Source organism: Homo sapiens, chromosome 20 (assembly GCF_000001405.40).
Source record: "Homo sapiens chromosome 20, GRCh38.p14 Primary Assembly".
Lineage (NCBI taxonomy): Eukaryota > Metazoa > Chordata > Mammalia > Primates > Hominidae > Homo > Homo sapiens.
The window spans coordinates 35,944,591-35,970,874 of NC_000020.11; the positions used below are offsets into that span (position 1 = coordinate 35,944,591).

At 45.1% G+C, this 26,284-nt stretch overlaps 3 protein-coding genes and 1 pseudogene across 32 annotated transcripts in view, besides 4 other annotated features; 3 read left to right on the forward strand and 1 right to left on the reverse strand.

The window, feature by feature from the left end:
- PHF20 (PHD finger protein 20) overlaps positions 1-5,780 on the forward strand; it is a 178,356-nt gene extending 172,576 nt beyond the window's left edge. For all 11 annotated transcript variants that reach the window (XM_047440180.1, NM_016436.5, XM_017027868.3 and 8 more), the window contains one exon: positions 2,895-5,780. In XM_047440180.1, the coding sequence (XP_047296136.1) occupies positions 2,895-3,037 (143 nt within the window). In that variant the 3' untranslated portion in view covers positions 3,038-5,780. The remainder of the gene's footprint in view (positions 1-2,894) is intronic.
- A 3,253-nt stretch (positions 5,781-9,033) lies between these two features.
- Positions 9,034-14,882, reverse strand: SCAND1 (SCAN domain containing 1). Of its 3 annotated transcripts, none has more exons than NM_001385710.1 (3): positions 14,823-14,882; positions 14,272-14,464; positions 9,034-10,512 (listed from the first exon to the last, which is right to left on the reverse strand). In NM_001385710.1, exon 3 carries the CDS (start codon positions 9,692-9,694, stop codon positions 9,155-9,157), a length of 540 nt encoding a protein of 179 aa, NP_001372639.1. In that variant the 5' UTR covers positions 9,695-10,512; positions 14,272-14,464; positions 14,823-14,882; the 3' UTR covers positions 9,034-9,154. The 3 variants fall into 3 exon arrangements, with proteins under 3 accessions (NP_001372639.1, NP_057642.1, NP_361012.3); NM_016558.4 differs by lacking the exons at positions 14,272-14,464; positions 14,823-14,882 and having other exon boundaries at positions 9,034-9,749; positions 9,858-9,897; positions 10,162-10,426; NM_033630.3 differs by lacking the exons at positions 14,272-14,464; positions 14,823-14,882 and having other exon boundaries at positions 9,034-9,749; positions 9,858-9,912.
- Positions 9,430-9,509: an enhancer, noted in NCBI's record as "active region_17799". NCBI's record gives its function as "activates an Ori minimal core promoter by ATAC-STARR-seq in GM12878 lymphoblastoid cells {active_cell/tissue: GM12878}" and the evidence as "EXISTENCE:reporter gene assay evidence [ECO:0000049][PMID:35858748]".
- Positions 9,630-9,889: an enhancer, noted in NCBI's record as "active region_17800". NCBI's record gives its function as "activates an Ori minimal core promoter by ATAC-STARR-seq in GM12878 lymphoblastoid cells {active_cell/tissue: GM12878}" and the evidence as "EXISTENCE:reporter gene assay evidence [ECO:0000049][PMID:35858748]".
- Positions 9,796-26,284, forward strand: part of CNBD2 (cyclic nucleotide binding domain containing 2) — a 76,315-nt gene continuing 59,826 nt past the window's right edge. For 9 of the 18 annotated variants that reach the window (XM_047439921.1, XM_047439922.1, XM_047439927.1 and 6 more), the window contains exons 1-2: positions 9,796-10,163; positions 13,131-13,184. In XM_047439921.1, the coding sequence (XP_047295877.1) occupies positions 9,990-10,163; positions 13,131-13,184 (228 nt within the window). In that variant the 5' untranslated portion in view covers positions 9,796-9,989. Of the gene's footprint in view, positions 10,164-13,130; positions 13,185-23,999; positions 24,224-24,704; positions 24,748-26,284 lie in introns of those variants that run through there. The other 9 variants (NR_130714.2, XR_001754187.2, XR_001754188.2 and 6 more) reach the window with 3 other exon arrangements.
- Positions 9,970-10,169: an enhancer, noted in NCBI's record as "active region_17801". NCBI's record gives its function as "activates an Ori minimal core promoter by ATAC-STARR-seq in GM12878 lymphoblastoid cells {active_cell/tissue: GM12878}" and the evidence as "EXISTENCE:reporter gene assay evidence [ECO:0000049][PMID:35858748]".
- Positions 10,270-10,479: an enhancer, noted in NCBI's record as "active region_17802". NCBI's record gives its function as "activates an Ori minimal core promoter by ATAC-STARR-seq in GM12878 lymphoblastoid cells {active_cell/tissue: GM12878}" and the evidence as "EXISTENCE:reporter gene assay evidence [ECO:0000049][PMID:35858748]".
- Positions 23,499-23,712, forward strand: LOC124904982 (uncharacterized; annotated as a pseudogene).

A 26,284-nucleotide genomic window follows, 5' to 3' on the forward strand; every position in this document is an offset into this window, starting at 1 on the left:
ACGGAGTCTTGCTCTTTCTCGCCCAGGCTGGAGTACAGTGGCATGATCTCGGCTTACTGAAGCCTCTGCCTCCCAGGTTTAAGCGACTCTTCCTTCCTCAGCCTCCCAAGTAGCAGGCAGATGCCTGCCACCACACCTGGCTGATTTTGTATTTTTAATAGAGATGGGGTTTCACCATGTTGGCCAGGCTTGTCTTGAATTTCTGACCTCAGGTGATCCACCTCCCTTGACCTCCCAAGGTGTTGGGATTACAGGCGTGCACGTCCGGCCTCTCCATTTATTCTTCTGCCTGTTTGCTGAACAGTCCCCTGTCTCCTTCTAGTTTTTTTTAAAGACTTACTGGTGTTTTGAAACTGGTCACTATCCAGTTTTCTTGCTCAGCAGGCCACTAGTTCCTCTCACATGACTGATCTTTTACTAATGGTTTTCAAGCTTAAGTCTGAGGAGGTGGTCTTATTTTTCTTATTTCCAAGTCCTTGTACTTGCTGGAATTAGGAAGAGAGAGGGTTCCTCCTTCTTGGAACCCCCAAATACCAACAAGAAATATGATGGAGGAGGATAAACTACATAGGGCCCAGAGCAATGGGTAGGGCGCTTTGCTGGACCACACATTCCTTCTCTCGCTGTGTTTGTTGCAGGCTTGCCACATTTCAGACACAGGTGAGTGTTAGGGATATAGTGGCAAGCAAGGCAGACTCAGCCTTTGCCCTCGTGGAACTTGATCTAGTGGGAGAGACATATATTAAACAAATCATCCCATTACCTGTAATGACAAACCATAGTAAATGCTCAAAGGAGAACATGTGATATCATAGCACCTGTAACACAAGGACCAGATTCAGGGTATAGGGTTGGGGAAGGCTTCCCTAAAGAATAGCTCACAAGAAACAGAGGATTTAGAAAGGTGGAGAGGAAGGTAGGGCTGCATCTGAGGACAGGAGAGGATTGCGCAGTAGGTTGCAGGCTGCTTGATGAAGAGGTACTGGGTGGGCCTTTCTTTTGCTGCACTCCAGGGTCCAGAAGGTGCTCAGTACAGGTTGGTGCATGGACTAGAAAGGCTACAGGCAGGCTGGGATAGCACAGGGGCTACCTGCAGGGGGTGGTTCTTGTCAAAGGTGCAGGGTTCCCAGATGGTCTCTCCCCAAATGCCAGAGCTTTAGGGGGTAGCTTAGGGAAGAACAAACATCTTTCTGTAGAGAAATACTTGTTCTCACAAGCAAGACAGCTTTCTAGATATTGAACCAATGATGATAATGTTAATTAATACCTGAAATCTTACATTAAATATTTAAAGGGGTCCTGCATGGTGGTTCATGCCTGTAATCCTAGCACTTTCAAAGTGGCCAAGGCAGGTGGATCACCTGAGGTCAGGAGTTCGAGGCCAGCCTGGCCAACATGATGAAACCCCATCTCTACTAAAAATAACAAAAATTAGCCAGGCGTGGTGGTGTGTGCCTGTAATACCATCTCCTCAGGAGGCTGAGGCAGGAGAATCGCCTGTACCCGGGAGGCGGAGGTTGCAGTGAGTCGAGATCATTGCCATTGTACTCCAGCCCAGGCAACAAGAGCGAAACTCTGTCTCAAAAGAAAAAAAAAGGCCAGGCCCAGTGGCTCATGCCTGTAATCCTAGCAGTTTGGGAGGCCGAGGTGGGTGGATCACCTGAGGTCAGGAGTTTGAGACCAAAATACAAAAATTCGCCGGGCGTGGTGGCACATGCCTGTAATCCCAGCTACTTTGGAGGCTGAGGCAGGAGAATCGCTTGAACCTAGGAGGCAGAGATTACAGTGAGCTGAGATGGCGCCACTGCACTCCAGCCTGGGCGACACAGTGAGACTCCATCTCAAAAAAATAAATAAATAAGTAAATAAATAAAGGGAGAAAATAATAACAGAGTATTCTGTGCCACTGATGATTGCGTATCAATCAGGAATTAATATGAAGCAAATCAGAGTTTATGATATACAAATAGACCTTTTCAAGACCCTATAGATTTTCATTTTTCTTGACAGGATGCTAAAACACCAGGCTCTCTGATTTTCAACATGGGAAAGCTTTTTATTTTTTATTTTATTTTATTTTATTTTATTTTATTTATTTTATTTTATTTTATTTTATTATTTTATTTATTTTATTTTTTGAGATGGAGTCTCGCTTTGTCGCCAGGCTGGAGTGCAGTGGCACGATCTCGGCTCACTGCGACCTCCGCCTCCCGGGTTCAAGCAATTCTCCTGCCTCAGCTTCCTGAGTAGCTGGGACTACAGACGGGCACCACCATGCCTGGCTAATTTTTGTATTTTTAGTGGAGATGGGGTTTCACCATGTTGGCCAGGATGGTCTTGATCTCTTGACCTTGTGATCTGCCCGCCTCGACCTCCCAAAGTGCTGGGATTATAGGCATGTGCCACCGCGCCCGGCTGGGAAAGCTTTTTAAAGAGTGAGTGGTAACACTCAGAAAGGTGCTTCCTTCCAAGACTTCTAGACTCTGGTAACAGTAGCCTCTGGCAATGTGTGGCTGTTTAACCAAAACTGAATAAAATTTAAAATTCAGTTCCTCAGTTGCATTAGCCATGTTTCCAGCGCTCAATAGCTGCATAAGGCTAGTGGCTACTGTATTGGATGACACAGACTTGGACCATTGATCATCGCAGAAAGTTCTTTTGGACTGTGCTGCTCTAAAGCATTTGTGTTTTGTCCTGGGAGTACCACTTTGTAGAGCAGGTGTTGACACAGTGCTGGCTGAAATGGCCCTTCCTCCCTTGCCCCATGGAGGCTGAAATGGCCCTTCCTCCCTTGCCCCATGTCTGATGGAATAAGGTGCTGAAATGCTTGCTGATGTTCTTGCAAATCAAGTGTTGGGAGTTCACTAGGTCTCATCTCTCTCTTCTGCCGACAGTGTTGGAGAGCTGGCTGGACTACACTGGGGAACTGGAGCCCCCTGAGCCGCTGGCCAGGCTTCCGCAGCTCAAGCATTGTATCAAGCAGCTGCTGATGGACCTGGGCAAGGTGCAGCAGATCGCCCTCTGCTGCTCAACATGAAACTGGGCACCCAAAACTCATGGGGGCACAATCCTGGGGCACCTGCAGGAGGAGCTTCGCATATTTAAATAAATAAACCTAGCATGCTGAATGCACGTGACACCGACTGACTTCAGGGATCTGGGCCAGGAGTGTGGTGGACATTGGACAAAGAGGCCATTTTGGCTGCGGGAGGACACTCTGATCTCGAAGCCTGCCATAAAGGTAGCAAATAGACTCTTGGGATTCCCCTCTTCTGTGCACATCGTTGAATGAAGAGAGTCTTTTTGCACAAACTTCACTTGAAATTGTGCCACTGATGATAAACGGAATGAGAGCCAAAAAAGTTTAGTTGGAGACAGTTGTAAATTCAATTTGGAGTTTATTTAATTGACTTTTCTATCACGTTGGGGCACATGCCAACTCCCTGGTTTCTTCCTGGCATGGTGTTTGGGCAGCAGGCATCATTTTCCTTTTCTAGCTTCATAGGAATATTGTGAGCTCACCATGCTGTGGAGGTTGGGAAAGAGCAGAGTCTTGGCTGCCCTGCTTTCTCCTTAGGACTCTTCACTTTTCTCACCACATCTCTTGCATGACTTCATGGTACTGGGGACAAGTTTGTATGCCTTCACCCCAGAGCTGGCTGGGTTATGGCTTTTGTAGCAGAGCCCATACAGCCTATGGAAGAACTAGAATCTCACTCACAGTAATAAGAATCTAGGAGGAATTCCAAACCGAAGCAGGCAGGGTCTGGAACCCAAAGGACAGCATTTTCTACCCACTTCTTAATATTGACAGCTTCCCCGTTCTATTTAATGTCCAAAAATGTTTCCCAAAATTTCAAACTCTTTCACTGTAAAGATTTGTTACAAAGAATGTGGTTTGGGGAATTACCTTATTTTATATTGTTGTAAACAAACTTCAAATTCTACATGTGCGACTTTTCTCCTTCCTGAAGGGTGTTTAGTAGTCAGCGTTTTCAGAATTGTTTTGTTACTATACTTTAACATTTTACATTTCCTGTTTGTATTATTTTGTGAGAGCAAGGTGATCATGCTGCTTAAGGTCCAGGTACAACCTATTTGTACCTTTTGAGACAATATTTGTGTTACTTTTGCAGGTTACGGTTCCACATGTAATTGCTATATTTTGTTTTGTTTTTCCTTACTAGGCAAAGTTAAAATGTTCCATGCTTTGAGGAGTGACCCATTTCACTACTTTGTTTTCTTATCACTAAAGGCAAAAATCAAAGCACAGTTGTCCATTAACACTTATAAGTTAATTATGGGTTTATGAGTCTGTAATGTTATATGCTGCAAACATTTACTATGTAAACGTGAAGTAGCCAATAATATCTCAATAGTAGTAACAGTATCTTTAGCGACCTTTGGAATAGTTAAGCACAGGTCATTGTGGACATGAATTCAGGCCTCTGTACTAAAATCTATTTCAGGGAATGTTCTGTCTAGTGATTTGCTCACCATTTGATATATAATGAATTATAGGACAAGTATAAGCTGATCTGCTATAGCTGTCCATCAGAGAGAATACACGTGGCTATAACATCTATAACAAAACGACGATTCCTCTACAAGAGGCTGTTTCTCACTGCTAACGTTGGTGTTTCTGGCGTGGGAAGAAATGCACAGGCGTGCATGGCATGCACGTTCAGACAGCTGCATTGTAAGAGTTCTGTCATGCAGTCTGAAAAGGGAAGAAACAGGATGGCTTTCTGTAGCCACACCTGTGAGGCGTGATGATTGTTGTATTATTAGATTACTGATTTTTCTTTTCTGAAAATACATTTGAGTTTTAATCACATCTGTGGAAGCTGTAACTTTTAAGGTAGTCAATTTCATGTCTTGTTCAACGATGTAAGCAGAAACTGAATTGCCCTAATTTTGCCAACTGGCCATTATTGGGATTATTGTTTAAATTTTTGGTAAAGGAAGTAATCTCCTTTCATTCATTGTGACTTTTGTTCTTAGGGAAGCAGAGAAGACTCCCCAAGTTCTTATAACCTCATTGTGCTTCCCTAATTTAAAGCCATGTTGAGGGGCTCCATTCCCAATTCCTGGGTCAAGGTGAATTAACCCTATGTTGGAGCACTGGAAACCGTTATTTGCAAACATTGCTGTTACCATTTAGAAATATGTGCACTATCAGCTGGGTGCAGTGGCTCACGTCTGTAATCCCAGCACTTTGGGAGGCCGAGGCAGGTGGATCACCTGAGGTCAGGAGTTCGAGACCAGCCTGGCCAACAGGGTGAAACCCCGTCTCTACTAAAAGTACAAAAATTAGCTGGGCGTGGTGGCGGACGCCTGTAATCTCAGCTACTTGGGAGGCTGAAGCAGGAGAGGTGCTGGAACCTGGGAGGCGGAGGTTGAAGTGAGCCGAGATTGCGCTATTGCACTCCAGCTCGGGCGACAACTGCAAGACTCCATCTCAAAAAAATAAAAATAAAAGAAAAGAAAGAAATATGTGCACTACCTAAGTTTTGTCTTTAGAAAAACTATCCACCTATAAAAAATTACCTTGACAAAAATAGTTCCGGTTTGACTAATCATTTTGTTTCTTTAAGTGGTAAGTGTATGCAAGGTGGATCCTTGATGAGCCAACATTGCACTGTGGATACATATCTATGTTTACGCGCTATTAGAACAGAAGGCGCTGTATATAGAAATGTTGCTTTGAAGCAATATTTGCAAAACACGCAGACTTCTGTATCTGTATTTGGAAAAAATAAAACAGGTTCTTGTTGCTATGTTTCAGTTACGTATTGTTGAGTTACAGTCATGCATCATATAACGTTTCTGTCAACCATGGACCCCATATACAGGGTGGTCCCATAAGATTATAATGGAGCTGAAAAATTCCCATCACCTAGTGATGTCCTGATGGTCCTACTGCATAGGCCTAGGCTAATGCGTGGATTTGTCTTAGTGTTTAACAAAAATCTAAAAAGTAAAATATATATAAAAAATTTAAACTAGAAAAAAACTCATAGAATAAGGATATAAAGAAAATATATTTGTATAGTTGTACCATGTGTGTAAACACAAAGTGTTATTACAGAAGTCAAAGTTAAAATTTAAAAGCTTACAAAGTATAAAAGTTGGTCAGGCAAGGTGCCTCAGATCTGTAATCCTAGCACTTAGGGAGGCTGAGGATGGAGACCCTGTCTCTAAATAAAAGGCTGGGTGCCGTCGCTCACGCTTGTAACCCCAGCACTTTGGGAGGCCAAGGCGGCCAGATCACCTGGGGTCAGGAGTTCAAGACCAGCCTGGCAAACATGGCAAAACCCCATCTCTACTAAGAATACAAAAATTAGCATGGTGGCGCATGCCTGTAGTCCCAGCTACTTGGGAGGCTGAGGCAGGAGAATTGCTTGAACCCAGGAGGAGGAGGTTGCAGTGAGTCGAGATCGTACCACTGCACTCTAGCCTGGGCAACAGAGTGAAACTGTCTCAACAAAACAAAAAACAAAAACAAAAAGTTATGGTGAACTAAGGCTAATTTATTATTGTAGAAAGAAAATTAAAAAAAATAAGTTTAGTAGTTCGTGACCAGCCTGGGCAACATGGTGAAACCCCATCTCTACAAAAATTAGCCAGGCATGGTGGCATGCACCTGTATTCCTAGCTACTTGGGAGGCTGAGGCAGGAGGATCACCTAGGCCTGGGAGCCAGAAGTTGCAGTGAACCTAGATTGTGCCACTGTACTCCAGCCTGGGCAACAAAGTGAGATCCTCTCTCAAACAAAAAAAAATTAGTCTATGTGTTCAGTGTTTATATAAATTCTGGAGTAGCGTACAGTAACGTCCTACATCTTCACATTCACTCACCACTTACCCAGCCAGAACAATGTCCAGTCCCGCAAACTCTTATTTTTTACTTTTATATATATATATATATATGTGTGTGTGTGTGTATATGTATATATGCATATATATATGTGTATGTGTATATATGCATGTGTGTATATATACATATATAAATATATATAAATGTTTTTTTTTTTTTTTGAGATGGAGCCTCACCGTGTTGCCTAGGCTGGTGTGCAATGGCGCGATCTCAGCTCACTGCAACCTTCGCCTCCCAGGTTCAAACAATTCTCCTCCCTCAGCCTCCTGAGTAGCTAGGATTACAGTTGCCCGCAACCAAGCCCAGATAATTTTTGTATTTTGAGTAGAGATGGGGTTTCACCATGATGGTCAGGCTAGTCTCAAACTCCTGACTTCGTGATCCGCTCACCTCGGCCTCCCAAAGTGCTGGGATTACAGGTGTGAGCCACCGCACCCGGCCTATTCTATATTTTTACTTAACCATTTCTATGTATAGATACACAAATACTTACCATTGTTACTGCCTATAGTATTCAGTACAGTAACATGCTGTACAGGCTTGTAGCCTACGAGCAGTAGGCTCTATCACAAAGCCTAGGTGTGTGTAGGCTATACCATCTAGTTTGCATAAGTGCACTCTATGAGGCTCACACAATAAAACTGCCTAAGGGCTCATTTTCAGAACGCATCCCCATTAAGAGATGCATGACTGTATAAAGTTCTTCACCATTCTTTTTTTTTTGAGACGGAGTTTCGCTCTTGTTGCCCAGGCTGGAGTGCAATGGCGCGATCACTGCTCGCTGCAACCTCCGCCTCCTGGTTTCAAGCGATTCTCCTGCCTCAGCCTCCCGAATAGCTGGGATTACAGGCGTGCGCCACCAAGCCCGGCTAATTTTGTATTTTTAGTAGAAAGACAGTTTCACCATGTTGGTCAGGCTGGTCTCAAACTCCTGACCTTAAGTGATCCGCCCGCCTTGGCTTCCCAAAGTACTGAGATTACAGCCATGTGCCACTACACCCAGATAATTTTCTATTTTTAGTAGAGATGGGGGTTTCACTATGTTGGTCAAGCTGGTCTCGAACTCCTGATCTCAAGTGATCCACCGCCTCTGCCTCCCACAGTGCTGGGATTACAGGCGTGAGCCACTGTGCTTGTCCTTCTTCACCTATTCTAATCTTCTTTAAACATTACCTTTTAAAGAAGGCTGTTCTTACCTTCTAAACAACTATCTTTTTCCAGGGAGGCAGGTGCAAACTCTGCCAAGAAATCCCAAGAATGCAAAAATACTTCTCAATTTGTCTGTCTTTAATATTCAAAAGCAAATTGCCCCTCACCAACTTCCAGCCCAGTCTCACTCATGCTTTGTGGTGTGAACTGCAGGCTGATTTTGATTGTTGAGAGCAGTGCAAGGAAGACAAGTCTGGCCTTCCTTATATTAACAAATGGCACTCACTGCAATAGGACCTATCTGGGACCAATCCAAGCTGTCCATGGACCCTAACTAGCTCCTTCCTGGTTGGGCAGAAGCCTCTGGAAACAGAGTAGGTTTAAGATTTCAGAACAGGTCCTCATTATTTGCCAAATTCTTTCTTCCCTTTGTAAACGATTATGCTAGTTTAAACACCAAAAGGGAGCCAGCCGGAGAGACATTAAAATGAGTAGCTTCAGTAATGTAAATAATCCATTACTTCAACTAGTTCTGCTTTATTCCTACCACAGGCCTAAAATTTGGCAAGGAAGTTGAGCAAGCCTGGCGGCATAAGCCAGAGCTCACAAGAACTAGCCTATCTCTGTGAAGGTGTGCAGTAAACACTTCACATTAAAATGGCCCAGTAACTTGGACATTTTGGGAAGCCTGTACCCAAAGGGCAGGTGCAAGTTGGTGCCCATATTGGTATAGAGGTAGCCAGTTAAGTGAGCATTTAATAGAGCCAGCTATTTTGCGTGTAAGAAACCCAAGTGGGTCCTTGGGAGCCCAGGTGAAAAACTTCCCATGTGTGGTAGAGGGATAACCTAGGTTCAGTCAACATCTAAAGATCCCACTATAGCCAACGAAGGCCTTATTGTTACGGACTCCCAACTTCGTTTCGCCACCAGCCAGAAAGGCGGTAGGAAACAGGCTTGGTAAAATAAACCCAATAAGAACGAATGAAAGAGACACACCAGACCACAGGCGCTGCCAAAACTCATTTTTCATTAACACGGGGTGGGGTCCCAGGCTCAGGCCCCCGGGCCCGATCATGGCCCCAGTCCGCACAGAGCGCCCGGCCCTGGCCGCCCGCAGCTCCACCGCTCAGCCAGTGATGCGCACATCCGTGCGGCGGCGGATCCGCCGGGCCCGAGCCGCCTCGGGCAGGATGGCGAGCAGCTGCTCTTGCACCAGCATCTCCACGATCTGCTCCTTGGTGCGGATGTCAGGCCGCAGCCACTGGCGGGACAGCTCCCGCAGCTGCCGGAAAGCCTCCCGGGGACCCGCCGCATCCTGGTAGCGGAACTGCCGGAAACGCTGGCGGAACGTCTCGGGACCGAGTCTAGAGCCGGCGGGGCCTGGTGTGGAGCGCGCTTCAGCTTCGGCCTGAGGCGCTACGCTCACGGGTGCGGGCCCGAGAGGCAGCTCCAGGGCCGCGGAGGCCGCAGCTCGGGGCGTAGGGATGGCTTCAGGGACCGCGGCGTTGGGACTGGAAGGCTCAGGGGCAGGCGGTGAGGCCTCTGGCAGCGAGGAGCCCACACAGTTACGCTCAGGGGCTGAGCTCGAACCGGCTCCTTCCAGTTTCTCCGGTGGCACCGCCGCGGGACTCCCAGTGGCCGCCAAGATCGGCTCCGTAGCCGCCATAACTCCAGCTCCGGGCGTCACTCTTTGTCCGGTAGCTGTGTGCTCAGCACTGCGTCTGCGCGGGGGTGGGGTGAGCAGGGAGACGTTTCCGGTTAAAGGGCAGAGCTCGCGTCACCCTTGAGGGAGTCGGACTCGGGACCGGCCGAGAGTGTGCGGAGCTTACCTGCACCAGCGAAGCGCCTGCGGCAGCCGGAAGCGAAAGTCTCTGGCTTCTCTGCGTCCAGGTCGGCGCGCGAGCACCCGGAAGCCGCTTGCGGGCTCCCGGAAGCGGCGCCCTCTAGCGTTCTCGAGTCGCATGAGGCGGCTGCTGCCCTCGCGGTGCGGGAGGGCGAGCTGCGCGTGGCCTGGGCTCCTTCCGAATGGTGGCGCCTCTGAGCGCCAGTTCGAGGAGGAGTCGGAGGAGGAGCCTGAATGTTTGGAGATAGACTTCAAGTCCCGGACCTTATCCGTGCGCCGCTTCGGTTTGCAGGTGACCTTTGCGTGCGGGCGCCCCTTCTGATTGACCCTGATGAGCTGTAGCTCTGATGGCCCCTCCTTCGGGAATGATTAGGGTGACGGCTGGCCGGGGCTCGTTCGAGTGGCGCCCGGCCGGTGGTGACCCGAACAGGAGAGCGGGACGGCGACCATTCTCTCGGGAGGGGCCCATCTGGAGAAAGTCCTCTCGCTTGGTCAAACTAGGAGGGCGATAGCACCGGCCTTACTGCGACGATGACAAAGTACAACACACCGTCTGGCGCGAAGGAGATGCTCGAGAACCCTTTGCTGTTGTTATTTTTCGCGTGTCCTCCGAAACCAAGGGAAATGCGGCTCTGTGGGTTCTGTTAACGTCAGCATTTAATAAGTGAACTCTAAATGCATTGCCCCTTATGGTGGCCGCTGGCCTCCTGAGTTGACTCAGCTCTTGCAACGTAGCTAGTTGATAACCCTCGAAATATAGCGAATTGAGATGTGCTATATTGTAAAATACGGGACTTAGTACGAAAAAACTGATGTAAAAATTATCTCAATACTTTTTAATACTGATTACATGTTGGAATATAATGTTTTGCATATATTGGGTCAAATAAAAATGTTATTAATTTCACCTGTGTTTTTACTTTTTAAATGCAGCTTCTAAAAACATTTAAATTGCATGTGCAGTTTACATTATATTTCTGTTGAGCAGCCTTGGGTTAGAGTGTTGGAGTGAGGCTACCTTGGTGGAATCCCCTTTGACGATACCCAGCTCAGAGTTGTTAGGAGGATTAAATAAATTAAGCCGTTGGAGAGAAAGGGCTTTTAAGAAGTTTGCTCTTGTTTTTATTAGGTAAACTGCTTGCTATCTCTGAGCTACTGTTTTCTTATCAGTAAAATGTGGATGTAATAGAACTTACCTCTCAGAGGTAATTGAGAATTCAGTGAGATGATGTAGGTAAAAGCACGTGGCCCTGACAGCCCTCGGCCAGGTGGTTTTCTGTTTGGTAGCTGACTCACAAATAGTTTTGTTTTTGTTTTTGTTTTTGTTTTGAGACTGAGTCCTCCGCCTACCGGGTTCAAGCGATTCTCCTCCCTCCGCCTCCCGAGTAGCTGGGATTACAGGCGCCCACCACCACACCCGGCTAATATTTTATATTTTTGGTACAGATGGAGTTTCACCGTGTTGGCCAGACTGGTCTCGAACTCTTGACCTCAGGTGATCCACTCTCCTCAGCCTCCCAAAGTGCTGGCATTACAGGCGTGAGCCACCGTGCCGGGCCACAAATAGGTTTTATATCCTCATTTTACAGAAGGGGAAACTGAGGCCCTCAAAGGACAGGGGCCTCATATGAAAGGTTTTCTATGACCTTGCAGTCCTTTTGAGCCCGTGCAGGATGGAGGAGCAGGTTTAACAACCATTAACATGCCATTAGCCCTGATATAAAACTTACCCCTACCATAGGATGTTTCCTTTGGATGGGTAGAAGTGGACCCTCATGAAATCATTTCCATAGCCTGAAAACCTTGAAAGTCGTTGCAGTGGGCCTTTAATGTTTTTTAGTTGCTGACATGTAAAAATTGGGAGATTTCACATGCAAATCTGGATTTCTAATTTTTCTTGAAAAAACGGAAGAGCTGGCCACACTGGACCCAAATTCCTGCTGGTCAACAATCAGCTGACACTGAGTAGAGACGACTTCCTTTAGACAAGATACTCTGTCCCATTTGGTCTCAATCTCAACCATTCCCTATGGTTCTCTGAAATAGAATGTTGTTTGCATTTACTGTTGCTCTCAGGTTGTTGCTTTATTTAGAGTTGATATTTTTCTCTCTTTTCTTTTTAGAGGTGAGAAAGCAGGGTCTTAGTGTTTGTTATGCCTACTGGCTTCAAACCTTGACTTCTGTCTGGCCCCTCAGTAGTTGGGTTTGCTGCCCAGAGTGACCAACAGTGCTATTCCCTGTGTGGTAACAGGTACTCAGTTTCTAGGCCTAAGGGAGCACACTAACCCTTCTGTGGAGGCAAGAGGTGATAGAAGTCTTCACTGGGGAGGAGACTTCAAGCTGAGACTCAAGAACAAAATGGGTGGGGCTCAGGGACATTCCAGGTAGAAGGTACTGCCTGTACAAAGGCACATAGTGAGTAGGAGCAAAACTGTGGAAACTGCAGGCTATATGGGAAAGTGGTTGGGATCTGGAGAAGGGGTGAGAGATGAGGTTGGAACACTGGTGGGGGTTAAATCATAAATGTCCTAGAATTCCATGTTTAAAATTTAGTTATTATCTTCTTGTGAAAGGGAATGAACTTTTGTGGCACCTGGAATCATGAGATGTTATGTTAGATCTCTAGTCTATTTCTTCCATCCCTATTGAAATCGTGAATTATTAGAGATAGGAGGAGGGACCTGAGAGATCTATTAGAATCATTGAATGTCAGACTGGAAGGGCCCTTAGAAATGGAATTTAAAAATCCAGCCCTTTGTGGGCCGGTAAGCCTGCTTTAAAGTGATTCAGCAGTAAAAAAATAATGTGGAGGGAATAAATGAAACAAGATTGGCTCAGTAGTTGGCCGGGCGCGGTGGCTCATGCCTGTAATCCCAGCACTTTGGGAGGCATAGGCAGGCGGATCACCTGAGCTCAGGAGTTCAAGACCAGCCTGGGCAACATGATGAAACCCTGTCTCTACTAAAAATACAAAAAATTAGCTGGGCTCGGTGGCTCATGCCTGTAATCTCAGCACTTTAGAAGGCTTGAAAGATTGGCAGTATGTACACTCTACTTTGGTATATGCTTGAAAATGTCCATGATAAAAGTTAAAACATTCAGATTCCCAGAATCTGAAAAAAAACATATAATGCCTCTTCTTCGAAAAGGGATGCAGTTATCTACTTTCATGTAATTTACATATATCCTTGAACCCTCCCAGAAGTCCCAGATTAAGCTTAAAATATACATTTATATTTCATTCTTTTGAATTTTGCAGATTGAGAAACCAAGATGTCAGAAGATGAAGGATTGGTCCAAAATAAGAAAGCTAGTAAGTGGTTTCATGAGGACAGAAATCTTTTGACTTTTAGTCCAAACTCTTATCTTATTAGGCCTCTTTATCCCTAGATTGGGAGTTCACTTGGGAAGGGATCATAACTCATTCATCTCATATCACTTAGCTTCCAACACAAGGCCTGACTCCTAGGTAGCTTCAGTGTTGATTAAAGGAAAGAGGACAAATGTGGATTGCAGACCATCCCTGAGAAGGCAGAGCTCTCATATGAGTCCCAGACTCTTTCAGAGACCTCAGTGCCTTTTGATGGCACTTGGTTGTTGAGGGTTGTGGAAAAGAAGCTTGGATACTTATTTTCTTTTTTATCAGAGCCATCACACTGGAGAATACGTCTTTTAAAAAGCTTTTCATTGGCCAAGCATGGTGGCTCATGCCTGTAATCCCAGCACTTTGGGAGGCCGAGGCAGGCGGATCACGAGTTCAGGAGTTTGAGACCAGCCTGGCCAATATAGTGAAATCCCATATCTACTAAAAATACAAAAAATTAGCTGGGCATGGTGGCAGGTACCTGTAATCCGAGCTACTTGGGAGGCTGAGGCAGAAGAATCACTTGAACCCGGGAGGCAGAGGTTGCAGTGAGCTGAGATCGTGCCACTGCACTCCAGCCTGGGTGACAGTGTGAGACTTCATCTCAAAAAAATAAATAAGTTTTTTATTTGGAAATAATTATAGATTCATAGAAGGTTGCAAAAATAGTTCAGAGAGGTTTCATGTACCCTTCAGTCAGTTTTCCCTAATGGTAACATCTTGCATAACTATAGTACAATATCAAAACCAGGAAATTGACATTGGTACAATCCACAGACTTTATTCACATTTTCCCAGTTTTACATACATGCATTTGTGTGTGTGTGTGTGTGTGTAGGTCTATGCAATTTTATCGTGTGTGGATTAATGCAACTACTACCACAATATCTAGAACTGTCTGATCACCACAGAGATCCCTCGTGCTATCTCTTTATAATTGCATCCATTCATCTTCCCTTCCCCTATCCCTAACCACAGGCAACCACTAATCTATTCTCCATGTCTATAACTGTGTTATTTAAAAAATGTTACATACCTGGAATCATATAGTGTATAATCATTTGGGCTTGGCTCTTTCCACTTGGCACAATTCCCTGGAGATTCACCCAAGTGGTTGCTTGTATCAATAGTTTGTCCTTTTTATTGCTGAGTAGTAATCTATGGTATAGATGTACCATGGTATATTTAACCATCCATTGAAGGACATTTGGGTTGTCTCCACCTTTGAGCTGTTACAAATAGAACTGCTATGAGTTATTTTATGACATGGCTTTGGGTAATCACTTATCTTTCTGAGCCTGGAAATAGTAACTACCACACAGGATGGTTCTGAATAGTCGAGGAGGAGAAATATATATAAGGGAACTGGTGCAGGGTTTGGCACAGAATATATACTTCGTCATTTTTTTAAAACCGATGGTTATGAAGAGATAATACTTCCTTGAATATGTAAGTTCTAGTATGTAGTATTTTTAAAAGTCACAGGCATTGATATTATTATTAGTGTATTAGTCTGTTCTCATGCTGCTAATAAAGACATACCCAAGACTGGGTAATTTATAAAGGAAAGACGTTTAATGAACTCACAGCTCCACGTGGCTAGGGAGGCCTCACAATCGTGGTGGAAGACAAGGAGGAGCAAGTCACATCTTACATGGATGGCAGCAGGCAGACAGAATGAGAAAGTGAAAGGGGTTTCCCCTTATAAAACCATCAGATCTCGTGAGACTTATTCACTACCATGAGAACAGTATGGGGGAACTACCCCCATGATTGAATTATCTTCCACTGAGTCCTTCCCACAACACGTGGGAATTATGAGAGCTACAATTCAAGATGAGATTTGGGTGCGGATACAGCCAAACCATATCATTATTGAACATCTGTGTATGTGTGATACTTTATTTACAGATGAGAAATTAAGGTCTAGAGAGATTAATTAACTTGCCCAGGTTCAGCCAATCCATGGCAAGATTGGGATTCAAACCCACGTTTAACATAGACAGTAGGAACCATGGAAGGACTTAAAGCAGGGGAAGGATGTGATCAGATTTGTGTTTTAGGAGACTCAGTCTGGATGCACTGTAAAGAATATTGCTTTATTGCTGAACACTTAGATTATTTCTGATTTTTCATTAAAATAATGTGATAATCATATATTGCTTAAAGCTTGTTCTGATTTTGAATTATAAGCATCTATTACTATCAAATCTATTTGGTCTCTGAGTTTGAAAAGGAAGCATTCTGATAGCAAGAGCTTGGATGGTAAGGGATACCAGTACTTCCTTAAGCTGTAATCCCAAAAGAGGACTGACTGAAATATTTTGCTACATATTGCCACCTTTCTTTCTATAGACATGTGTTTGATTCATAGAACCTTAGGACAACCCCTTTACTTCACAGATGGGCAAACTAAAGTTCAGAAAGTAGAAGTACTAGCCAGGGTAGAATCCAGGGCCCAGCAATGAATGAGAATTTTAGTTGCTCTACATCCTCATCAGCACTTAGTATTTCATTTGACAGAGTCTGTCATCCAAGCTCAGTGTCATTAGTTATTCAGAAAATTCAGTGCAGTGTTGCAGTCCTAGATCACTGCAGCGTCAAACTCCTGGGTTCAAACTATTCTGCCTCAGCTTTGTGAGTAGCTGGGACCACAGGCGCGTACCGCCATGCCCCACTAATTGTTTTTTTGTTTGTTTGTTTGTTTTATAGAGACAGGGTCTCGCTATGTTGCCCAGGCTGGCCTCAAACTGCTGGGCCCAAACAATCCTCCTGCCTTAGCCACCCAAAGTGCTGGGATTACAGGCGTGAGCCACCGTGCCTGCCCCTACCTCTCACTTTCTCTGTCTCTATACTGCCATACTCCTCTTCTCTTCCCTTCTCTTCCCTTCTCTTCCCTTCTCTTCCCTTCTCTTCCCTTCTCTTCCCTTCTCTTCCCTTCTCTTCCCTTCTCTTCCATTCTCTTCCCTTCTCTTCCCTTCTCTTCCCTTCCCTTCCCTTCCCTTCTCTTCCCTTCTCTTCCCCTCTCTTCCCTTCTCTTCCTTTCCTCTCCTCTCCTCTCCTCTCCCCTCCCCTCCCCTTTTTCTTTCATCTTGCTCTGTCGCCACCCCCCTCCTCCCGCTTTTTCTTTCCTCTCGCTCTGTCACCCAGCTGGAGTGTGGTGGCATGATCTTGGCTCACTGCAACCTCTGCCTCCCAGGTTCAAGCTATTCTCTTGCCTCAGCCTCTCGAGTAGCTGGGATTACAGACGCCTGCCACCACACCCGGTTAATTTTTTGTATTTTTAGTAGAGACAGATTTTCACCATGTTAGCCAGGCTTGTCTCCAACCTCTGACCTCAGGTGACCCACCTGCCTCAGCCTCCCAAAGTGCTGGGATGACAGGCGTGAGCCACCACGCCCGGCCTCTTGGCTCTTTTTAAATCATTCATTCCCAACTCCTTCATTTGCTTTTTGCAGTCCTATCTTCTGTTCTCAGCAAGGCTAGCTTTCTTTTTGATGTTTCTGGAATGACCTTCTCTTCTGAGATGGTTATTTTTAAAATCCCTTCTTTCCTGAGCTCTGCCAGTGTCGTCTCCTCTGGCTGTCTCAGTGTCTTTTCTTTGAACTATTACATCTTTGCTTTGATCTCTTGTTTTAAAATTCATTAAGCCCTTTGACTTCTTTGTTGTTCATGATTATCATCTGTTTCATGTTAGCTTTTTTATTTTTCTTTTTTTGGTGATTGTCTTTCATCTGCCATTTGTTTTTCCTGTTCCCTGCCTCCCTCTCCTGCTTTTTTCAGTAATATATTTGTATAAGTCTTGTGTTATTTCTTTTTTACTATAACTCCCCTTTAGATGAAGTGAGTTCTTCTGGACAAGCTGCTTGTGGGATTGTGTGTGGAGAAAGGACTAGAGTAGAATTCCAGGCTGGCAGGAATTCTCTTGGCTTCATAGTGAAGCTTCTTCTGACAGGGTTTTTTGTGAGTATGTGAATTGGTTTAGCCCTCTCCTCTTCCGATCAGTTGGAGCTTGGCAGCTGTAGGGCTATAAAAATGGAACATCTGTGTGTTTCCCTGGTCACCCCACTCCCCTACTTCTCCTTGGTCCCAGTGGGACCAGAGAGGCTCCCAGAGCCAGCCTGTCCATCACCATCCCAATGTTCTACTGAAGGTGTTGTGAGTTGTGCCCTCAAGGTGTAGCCCGCTTCTTTGGAGAAGTACGAGTTTTGCCAGCTCTCCCTAAGGCCTGCAGCCATAGCGTTCTCTATTGGCATTAACCTTCTGGATCTTCTCAGCACCCCTCATTGCCGCACAGGCTGATGTGATAGCTTGCTACTCTCAGCACCGTCACCCTCTGGCCACTGGAGTGCTTAACCCAGAAAGGCTGGGAAGTTAATGCCTCCAGGAGCAGCTCTCAAGTGGACAATTCTGAGGCATGCTCCCTGCAGTCTTTTTTTTTTTTTTTTTTTGAGACAGAGTCTTGCTCTGTCGCCCAGGCTGGAGTGCAGTGGCACGATCTCGGCTCACTGCAAGCTCCATCTCCTGGGTTCACGCCATTCTCCTGCCTCAGCCTCCCGAGTAGCTGGGACTACAGGCGCCCACCACCACGCCCAGCTAATTTTTTTTGTATTTTTGATAGAGATGGGGTTTCACCGTGTTATCCAGGGTGGTCTCAATCTCCTGACCTTGTGATCCGCCTGTCTTGGACTCCCAAAGTGCTGGGATTACAGGCGTGAGCCACCGCGCCCGGCCCCCTGCAGTCTTACTAAGGTCCCCAGGACATTGGAGCCCCACTGGGCCATAGGGGTGACATGTTCATGCACCTCTGTCAAAAAACAAAAATTTATAGAAGATCCTGTGATTATTCTCCTTAGCTATGTTAACATAATGAATTATGTTTATATAATTAACCATCTTTGCACTCCCAGAATGATATGTTATTTTTACAGGTACTGCTGAATTCTATTTGCTTATATTTTAAGATTTTAAGAACAATATTTATAAATGAGATGAATCTGTAGCTTTCTTTTTTTGTGCAACCTCTATTAGGTTTTAGTGTCAGTGTTCTCAGTTCATTACAATAATTTGGTAGTTTTCCTTCTTTTTAGGCTCTGGAACGGTTGAAGAAACATTGAGGTTGTTTGGAGTTGCCTGTGAAACCTTTAGGACCAGCTGCTTTTTTCTTTTTAGGTGGTGGTAGTGGTGAGAGACCTCTTTTACAGCTTCTCTACTTCTATGACAATTAATCTATTTAGGCTGGGCGTGGTGGCTCACATCTCTAATCCCAGCACTTTAAGAGGCTGAAGTGGGAGGACTGCTTGAGCCCAGGAGTTCAAGACCAGCCTGGGCAACGTAGTGAGACCAGATCTCTACAAATTAAAAAATTAGTCAGTCATGGTGGTGCACACCTGTGGTCCCAACTACTTGGAGGCTGAGGTGAGAGGATCACCTGAGTCTGGGAAGGTAGAGGCTGCAGTGAGCTGTGATCATGCCACTGCACTCTGGCCTAGGGCATAGAGTGAGACCTTGTCTCCAAATTAAAAAAAAAAAAAAGGAAATAAAATCAGAAAATTAGTCTACTTAAATGGTTTCGGCCGGTCACGGTGGCGGATCACTTGAGGTCAGGAGTTCGAGACCAGCCTGGCCAACATGGTGAAACCCTGTCTTTACTAAAAATACAAAAATTAGCCAGGCACGATGGTGGGTGCCTGTAATCCCAGCTACTCAGGAGGCTGACGCAGGAGAATCGCTTGAACCCAGGAGGCAGAGGTTGCAGTAAGCCAGGGTCGTGCCACTGCACTCCAGCCTGGGCAAAAGAGAGACTCTGTCTCAAAAATAAATAAATAAATAAATAAATAGTTTCTATTGGGGTCACTTTGGTAAATTATTTTTTCCTAAAAGATTATTCATAAAAATCTAGTATTTAAGTGTTAAAAGACTCATTCAAATTCCTAAAAATAACCTCTGTTGAAACATGTCAGTAGGCTAGCTATGGGCGGTGAACTGCCATTTTGCAACCACTAAATAGAGAATTTTTGACCTGAAAGAGGCCCTATGGATCCATACTGGGGGTTGCAAACAGGTAACATGCCTGGCAGATGACTTAATTGTGTGAGGTGAAGACTTTGGTGAATTACAGAGCCAATACCTCAACTAAAGACAAGCAAGTTAATTTTGAGCAATATTTAAACCAAAACACTATGCAGGTCAAATAAAACAGTCTGCAAGTTCACTTGGCACATCACGTGCCATAGCTAGTTTATGGCCTCTGCCAGCCCAGCCTCCTTCCTCATAACCACACCTCCTGAGCATCTCACGTTTTAGCTATGTCTCATGCTCCCTGAACAGACCCTGCTCTTTCTTCATATATCTTTTTTTCTTTTTTTTTTTGAGATGGAGTTTTGCTCTTGTTGCCCAGGCTGGAGTGCAGTGGTGTGATCTCGGCTCACCACAACTTCCGCCTCCTGGGTTCAAGCGATTCTCCTGTCTCGGCCTCCCTAATAGCTGGGATTACAGGCCCGCGCCACCATGCCCGGCTAATTTTGTATTTTTAGTAGAGATGGGGTTTCTCCATGTTGGTCAGGTTGGTCTCAAACTCCCAACCACAGAGTCTATCTCTGTCACCCAGGCTGGAATGCAGTGGCTCAATCTTGGCTCACTGCAGCCTCTGCCTCCTGGGTTCAAGTGATTCACCTGCCTCAGCCTCCCGAGTAGCTGGGACTACAGGCGCCTGCCACCACGCCCGGCTATTTTTTTTTTTTGTATTTTTAGTAGAGATGGGGTTTCACCATGTTAGCCAGGATGGTCTCGATCTCCTGACCTCGTGATCCACCCACCTCAGCCTCCCAAAGTGCTGGGATTATAGGCGTGAGCCACTGCACCCAACCACCTCTTCATATATCTTTTTTTTTTAAGAGACGGAGTCTCACTCTGTTGCCAGGCTGGAGTGCAGTGCCATGATCTCGACTCACTGCAACCTCTGCCTCCCAGGTTCAAACAATTCTCCTGCCTCAGCCTCCCAAGTAGCTGGGACTACAGGTTCCCGCTATAAAGCCCAGCTAATTTTTGTATTTTTAGTAGAGACAGGGTTTCATCATGTTGGCCAGGATGATCTCAATCTCTTGACCTCGTGATCTGTCCACCTTGGTCTCCCAAAGTGCTGGGATTACATACGTGAGCCACCATGCCCGGCCTCATATATCTTTCATAGCTTTATTATAGCAAGACTTTCTCTGAGGATTTTACTTCCCCACCATATTGTGAACTCCTGGTAAGCAGGGACCACATCTTATTCACCTTCATATGCTTTGTAAGCATTTGTTGTATAGCTTTTATAATCAGCAAAACAATAAGAATCTTCTCTCTCCCTCTCTCTCTTTTTTTTTTTTTTTTTGAGACGGAGTCTCATTCTGTCACCTAGGCTTGAGTGGTGCAATCTTGGCTCACTGCAACCTGCGCCTCCCAGGCTCAGATGATGCTCCCGCCTCAGCCTCCCGAGTAGCTGGGATTACAGGTGCATGCCACCACACTGGGCTAGTTTTTGTATTTTTAGTAGATACTGGGTTTCACCATGTTGGACGAGCTGGCCTTGAGCTCCTGACCTCAGGTGATCCACCCGCATCAGCCTCCCAAAGTGTTGGGATTGCAGGCATGAGCCACCGCGCTTGGCCGAATCTTCTCATAAATTGTTTGTGGAATTGAATCGAACTCCATTTTATACATTATGAAAATGAGGCCCCAAGTAGTTAAGTGACTTACCTAAGATCACATAGGAATAGGACCAGTGCTCTTTTTGGCATTCTACCCTGTAATAGTTACAGTTATAAAATCAGGAACTGTAAGAGAAATGAAACTTTCTTAGTTTCTAGAACTGACTTAAATGTGTGACTCTGAATCCCCAGCCCACCTCCTTGCAGATAATTGAATTTAGGATGTCTTCAGGTAAATTGAGATCCAATCCAGTAATTTTGAGTGGATATAATTTCAGGCTTATTGATTCATCTTGGGCCCATTCATAGCTCTCCAAACTTCCTGCTTCTTCTTCCCCAAAGCTGATCTAATTCCTAGAGAAATTGTACAACCACAGCTGGCAAGAGGTGAGGTTGGCAGTAAACATTTTTGGGGTCTCATCAGGTCGTACTGGCATCATCTGATGCCCCTTGTGAGCCTGGATACTTTCCTTGTCACTCTTGGATCCTCAGGCAGTTCAGAGGACTGACGGGACACCCTTCCTGCCTATAGCCATCTCCTACCATCTCTCTTGCTTTCTCCAGGCCCAGTTGTTTCTTTCAGAAGCCCCCTACACTTTTGAAGGGGATCCTCTTATATTTCCTTCCTTAAGACTAGGTTTGCAGTGGGGGAGGCAAAAACTCCATACCTCATCTCTCTGTCTCTCTTTCTAAAACTTTCTCTTCTTTCTCTCTCTGAATTCTTTACATCTTTTCTCATGGTATGGGGGAAAAACCAGTTTTGTCCCTTCTCACCTCTGTGTGTGATTACTGTCCCACCCCAAGAGTGGCCTTTGTCTTTCTTCTCAGCTGTCCAGCCATCTTTGCTGAACTCAGTGTCCTTCTGTCTACCTATCAGTTGGAGGAGAGTTAACAGATATACCCCACGGGATAGGAATGGCAGAGCAGGTGATGCTTGAAATCACAGTTTTCTACTGAGGATCCTGGTGCAAGAGCAAATTGAGATACTCAATTGTCATCTTTAATAGAAAAAAGCACTTTAGAGCCTATATTTTTCTATATCTTTAGAAGGACTCCAGAGATTTGAGTTCTAGTCACCAAGTTCCATTCAATATTTGACACTTGATTTGGGTGAGGTCTTCTGTTTTGCTGAGTTTTTTTTTTATTGTCCTGATTTAACCAGACTTATGGGACAGTACTATGCACCCACGTTCCAGGGCCTCCAAGTTCTAAGTCTCAGAGTGGTCCCTGGGCTAAGGTGCTGGATGAACCTACTCCCAGCCTAGAAGCCTCCCGCTGTAACAAAGTACACCCATTTTTCTATGAGATAGAGAATGAGTTATCTTTTTAAATCATCTTTTTCTTCTTTCTCTTTTGTGTTTTTCTTCTGTTCCCCACTTCCTACTTAGCTGATTAGAAATGCAGTTATAACCTTTTGCTTTCCCTTCACCAGACACTCCTAGAGCAAGTGTATCTGTGTGCTTACTTAAAAGCTCCAGAGTAGAAACCTCTCCCACCAGATTGCCTTGAGAGACAATAGTCAATTTACAACCAAAAGTATGCCTGCCAGGAAACTCTGCCCCACCTGGAGAGTATCTCGAGACAAGGCCACTTTACAACCTAGTTCTGCCCAAGATGGTGGCAGCTCGACCAGGCGGTAGATAAGGCACCAAAGTGAGTCATGGAGACTCCCACCTGCTCATTCCCTCCTCTGCATGCCATTTATGCCAATTCCCCCTCCCGCTTTTTTTTTTTTTTTTTTTTTTTTTTTTGAGACAGAGTCTTGCTCTGTCGTTCAGGCTGGAGTGCAGTGGCACAATCTTGGCTGACTGCAACCTCTGCCTCCCGGGTTCAAGTGATCCTCCCACCTCAGCCTCCCGAGTAGCTGGGATTATAGGTGCCCACCACCTCACCCGGCTAATTTTTTTGTATTTTTAGTAGGGATGGGGTTTCACCACATTGGCCAGGCTGGACCAGACCTTGCTTCTGTTAATTGGATGCTACAAATGGAGAGCAAGTGTACCTGACATTTAGCTACACTGCTTTCTTAAAAAAAAAAAAAAAAAAAAGGCCCTGGCCAGGAGTGGTGGTTTATGCCTGTAATCCCGGCACTTTGGGAGGCTGAGGTGGGTGGATCACTTGAGGTCAGGAGCTTGAGACCAGCCTGGGCAACGTGGTGAAAGCCTGTCTTTACTAAAAATACAAAAATCAGCCGGGCATGGTGGCACACGCCTGTAATCCTAGCTACTTGGGCGGCTGAGGCAGGAGAATCACTTGAATTTGGGAGGCAGAGGTTGCAGTGAGCTGAGATTGGGCCACTGCACTCCATCCTGGGAACAAAGTGAGACAGTGTCTCAAAAAACAAAAAAGCCCTATCTTTGCAGGACAGGTGAGCCCCCAAATTGAGACTTAGCTTAGGAGAGTTCTTGGCTTTGCCCAAGGAAGGAATTCAAGGGTGAGCCAGTGGTGTTAGACAGCAATCTTTTATTGAATAGTGCTTCTCCTTGTGGGGCAGGGCTAACTCATGGGCAATGAATCCGGAGTCGATACCCAGTGTATGAGATGTTGGCAACTGTATTTATGCTCATCTCTAATCCCTTCTCAGCCTTTTGGCTGAGATCAAGTGTAGTATACGCATTCCTACCCACTTTCAATCACATGCAAATTAAGGGGCAGGCTAATGCAAATTAAGGGGCAGGTTAATGCAAATTAAGGAGTGGGTTTTTAGAGTTTTCTAGGAAAGAGGTAGCAACTTCCTGGTCATTGCCAAGACATTTGTACACTGTCATGGCACTGGTAGGAGTGTCTTATGTTAATGAGGGATGGGGACAGCTAGGGGGTCCTAGATCCTGTTTTGGTCAGCAGGGTTGTGCCATTCTCCTGTCTCACCAGGACTCTGGCAGCCATTTAGCTACTTTGAGCCCCAGTCTCCTATGTATGGAGTTGAGTAAAAGTTTGGGTGGTTGTGAGGATTAGCTGAGATAATGCCTGTGAGTATCCCATAAATGTTAGACTCCCACATTCCAATCCCTGTGTCCCCTGCCTCCAGAATCTTTCATTGTGACCTTAGGAGATTCTGAGAATGATTTTTCTCAGAGCAGGGCTTCCAGTAGCTGATGGTATGGTAGGAGGAGTGGAGTGGAGCTCTTGCCTTGTTACTGAGGAAATCTATTTGTTTCTAGTATTACTGGATTTTTGGGGAAAAATTTGTAGTCCTCCCCTTGAAAGGCAAAGGGGCTAGTTGTGCCATTTGCCTGCACAGGAACCATGAGGAGACATATGGTAACTTATGCCTGGCAGCTCCTGAAGAAGGAACTGGTGAGGAGGGGCAAGGGCCCTGGGAGGGAAGAGCAGAAGACTGAACAGACAGGTGTTTTGAGGAAGGTCGATGCAGGTGTAGGAGGGGTCTTGGATGAATGGTGGCCATCCTGTACCTTTTGGAGTCACAGCATGGCACAAAGGAGGGACCCCTGCCCTGTAGCCTACCAGCCCCCCACACTGGGCAAGCCATAAGCCACACTCAGAGCCACTGAGTCCTGTTCTGTACCCACTCTTCCTGCTATTATGAGATCCAGAGAGAACGAGGGAGGATAGAGTCAGGGTAGCAACATTGAGTCATAGGTTAAGCTTGTGAACTCTGGAGCCAGACTACCTAGGTTTAAATCCCTATCACCTATTAGTCATGTGACCCCAGGCAAGTTGCTTGGTTTGCTGTGCCTTTATTTTCTCCTCTGTAAAGTGAGATGATAATACTAGTACCTACTGCATAAATTTACTGATTAAATGATTTACATATCAGAATAGTGCTTTGGATAATGCCTGACAATAGTAAATTGTACTCAGTAAGTATTAATTTTATTCATAAAGTACCTTTCCCCATATTTCCATAGATATCTAATTTTTAAGAAATAGAACATTACAGGTGTAGGGAAAGCTCTTTACCATCCCATGCCCCTTTATTTCTCTTTAATAGTAACCACTTTCCTGAAGTTGGTGTCACCCTTCCTGTTTATATTTTTATATATTATCACATGTGTATGTATCCATAAACAATATATAGTATGTGGCACACTGTTTAAAAATGATACCATAAATAGCATCATAGTTCTTTTTTCCCACTCAAAATCATTTCAGCTTTATCCACATTGACACACACAGACTTAGTGCTGTGTTCAATCCTGTGACTGAACCATAATGTATTGATCCCTTCGATCCCTACTAATGAACATTTGTTTTCAGCCATTCACTGTTACACACAATGTTGCCATGATTACCCTCATGGCTATCCCCTTGTACATGTATGTTTCTCTGAAGAGGACATATAAAGTACATACAATTCTTCCATTGTGAAGTACACACATCCTCAACTTTATATAATGTTGCCAAATTGCTCTTCAACATGGTTGTACCATGTTTCCCAGTTCCCAGTGATAAGTGCAAAATAGTATCATGTTATTACTTTAATTTCCATTTCCATTATTTCTAGCAATGTTAAAAATGGTTTCACAATTTGGCTGGGGCATGAAGGCTCATGCCTGTAATCCCAGCACTTTGGGAGGCTGAGGTGGAAGGATCACTTGAAGCCAGAGTTGGAAACCAGCCTGGGCAACAAAGTGAAACCCCCTCTTTACAAACAATGTAAATATAAATACAAATGAATAAAAACAATATTTTCACAATTTATAGGTAATTTGAACTTTCCCTTTGAATTACCTTTGCTCATTTTGCTATTGGGTTATTTGTATTTTTCTTTTGATTTGTAGGATTACAAAAAATAAATTTTGGATCGTAATCCTTTGTTGATTATATGCATAGTAAGTATATTTTTCCAGTCTGTAGTTCGTTGTCTCACTTTGTTTATGATACACTTTAAAAAGAACATTCTCTTTTTTCCTTTGTTTGTTTTTATTTATTTTTTTGAGACAGAGTCTCACTCTGTTGCCCAGGCTGGAGTGCAGTGGCGCAATTTCAGCTCACTGCAACCTCCACCTCCCAGGTTCAAGTGCTCCTGGTGCCTCAGCCTCCTGAGTAGCTGGGATTACAGGCGCCCACCACCACGCCCGGCTAATTTTTGTTTTTTTTAGTGCAGATGGGATTTCACCATGTTGGCCAGACTAGTCTCAAACTCCTGGTCTCAAGTGATCAGCCCACCTTGGCCTCCCAAAGTGCTAGGATTGCAGGCATGAGCCATTGTGCCAGAGCTGTTTGTTTGTTTGTTTGTTTCATTTTGTTGTTGTTGTTACAGGGTCTTGCTCTGTTACCCAGGTTGGAGTGCAGTGGCACGATCATAGCTCATTGCAACCTTGAACTCCTGGGCTCAAGCAATCCTTCTGCCTCGGCCTCCCGAGTAGCTGGGACTACAGGCGAGTGCCACTGTGC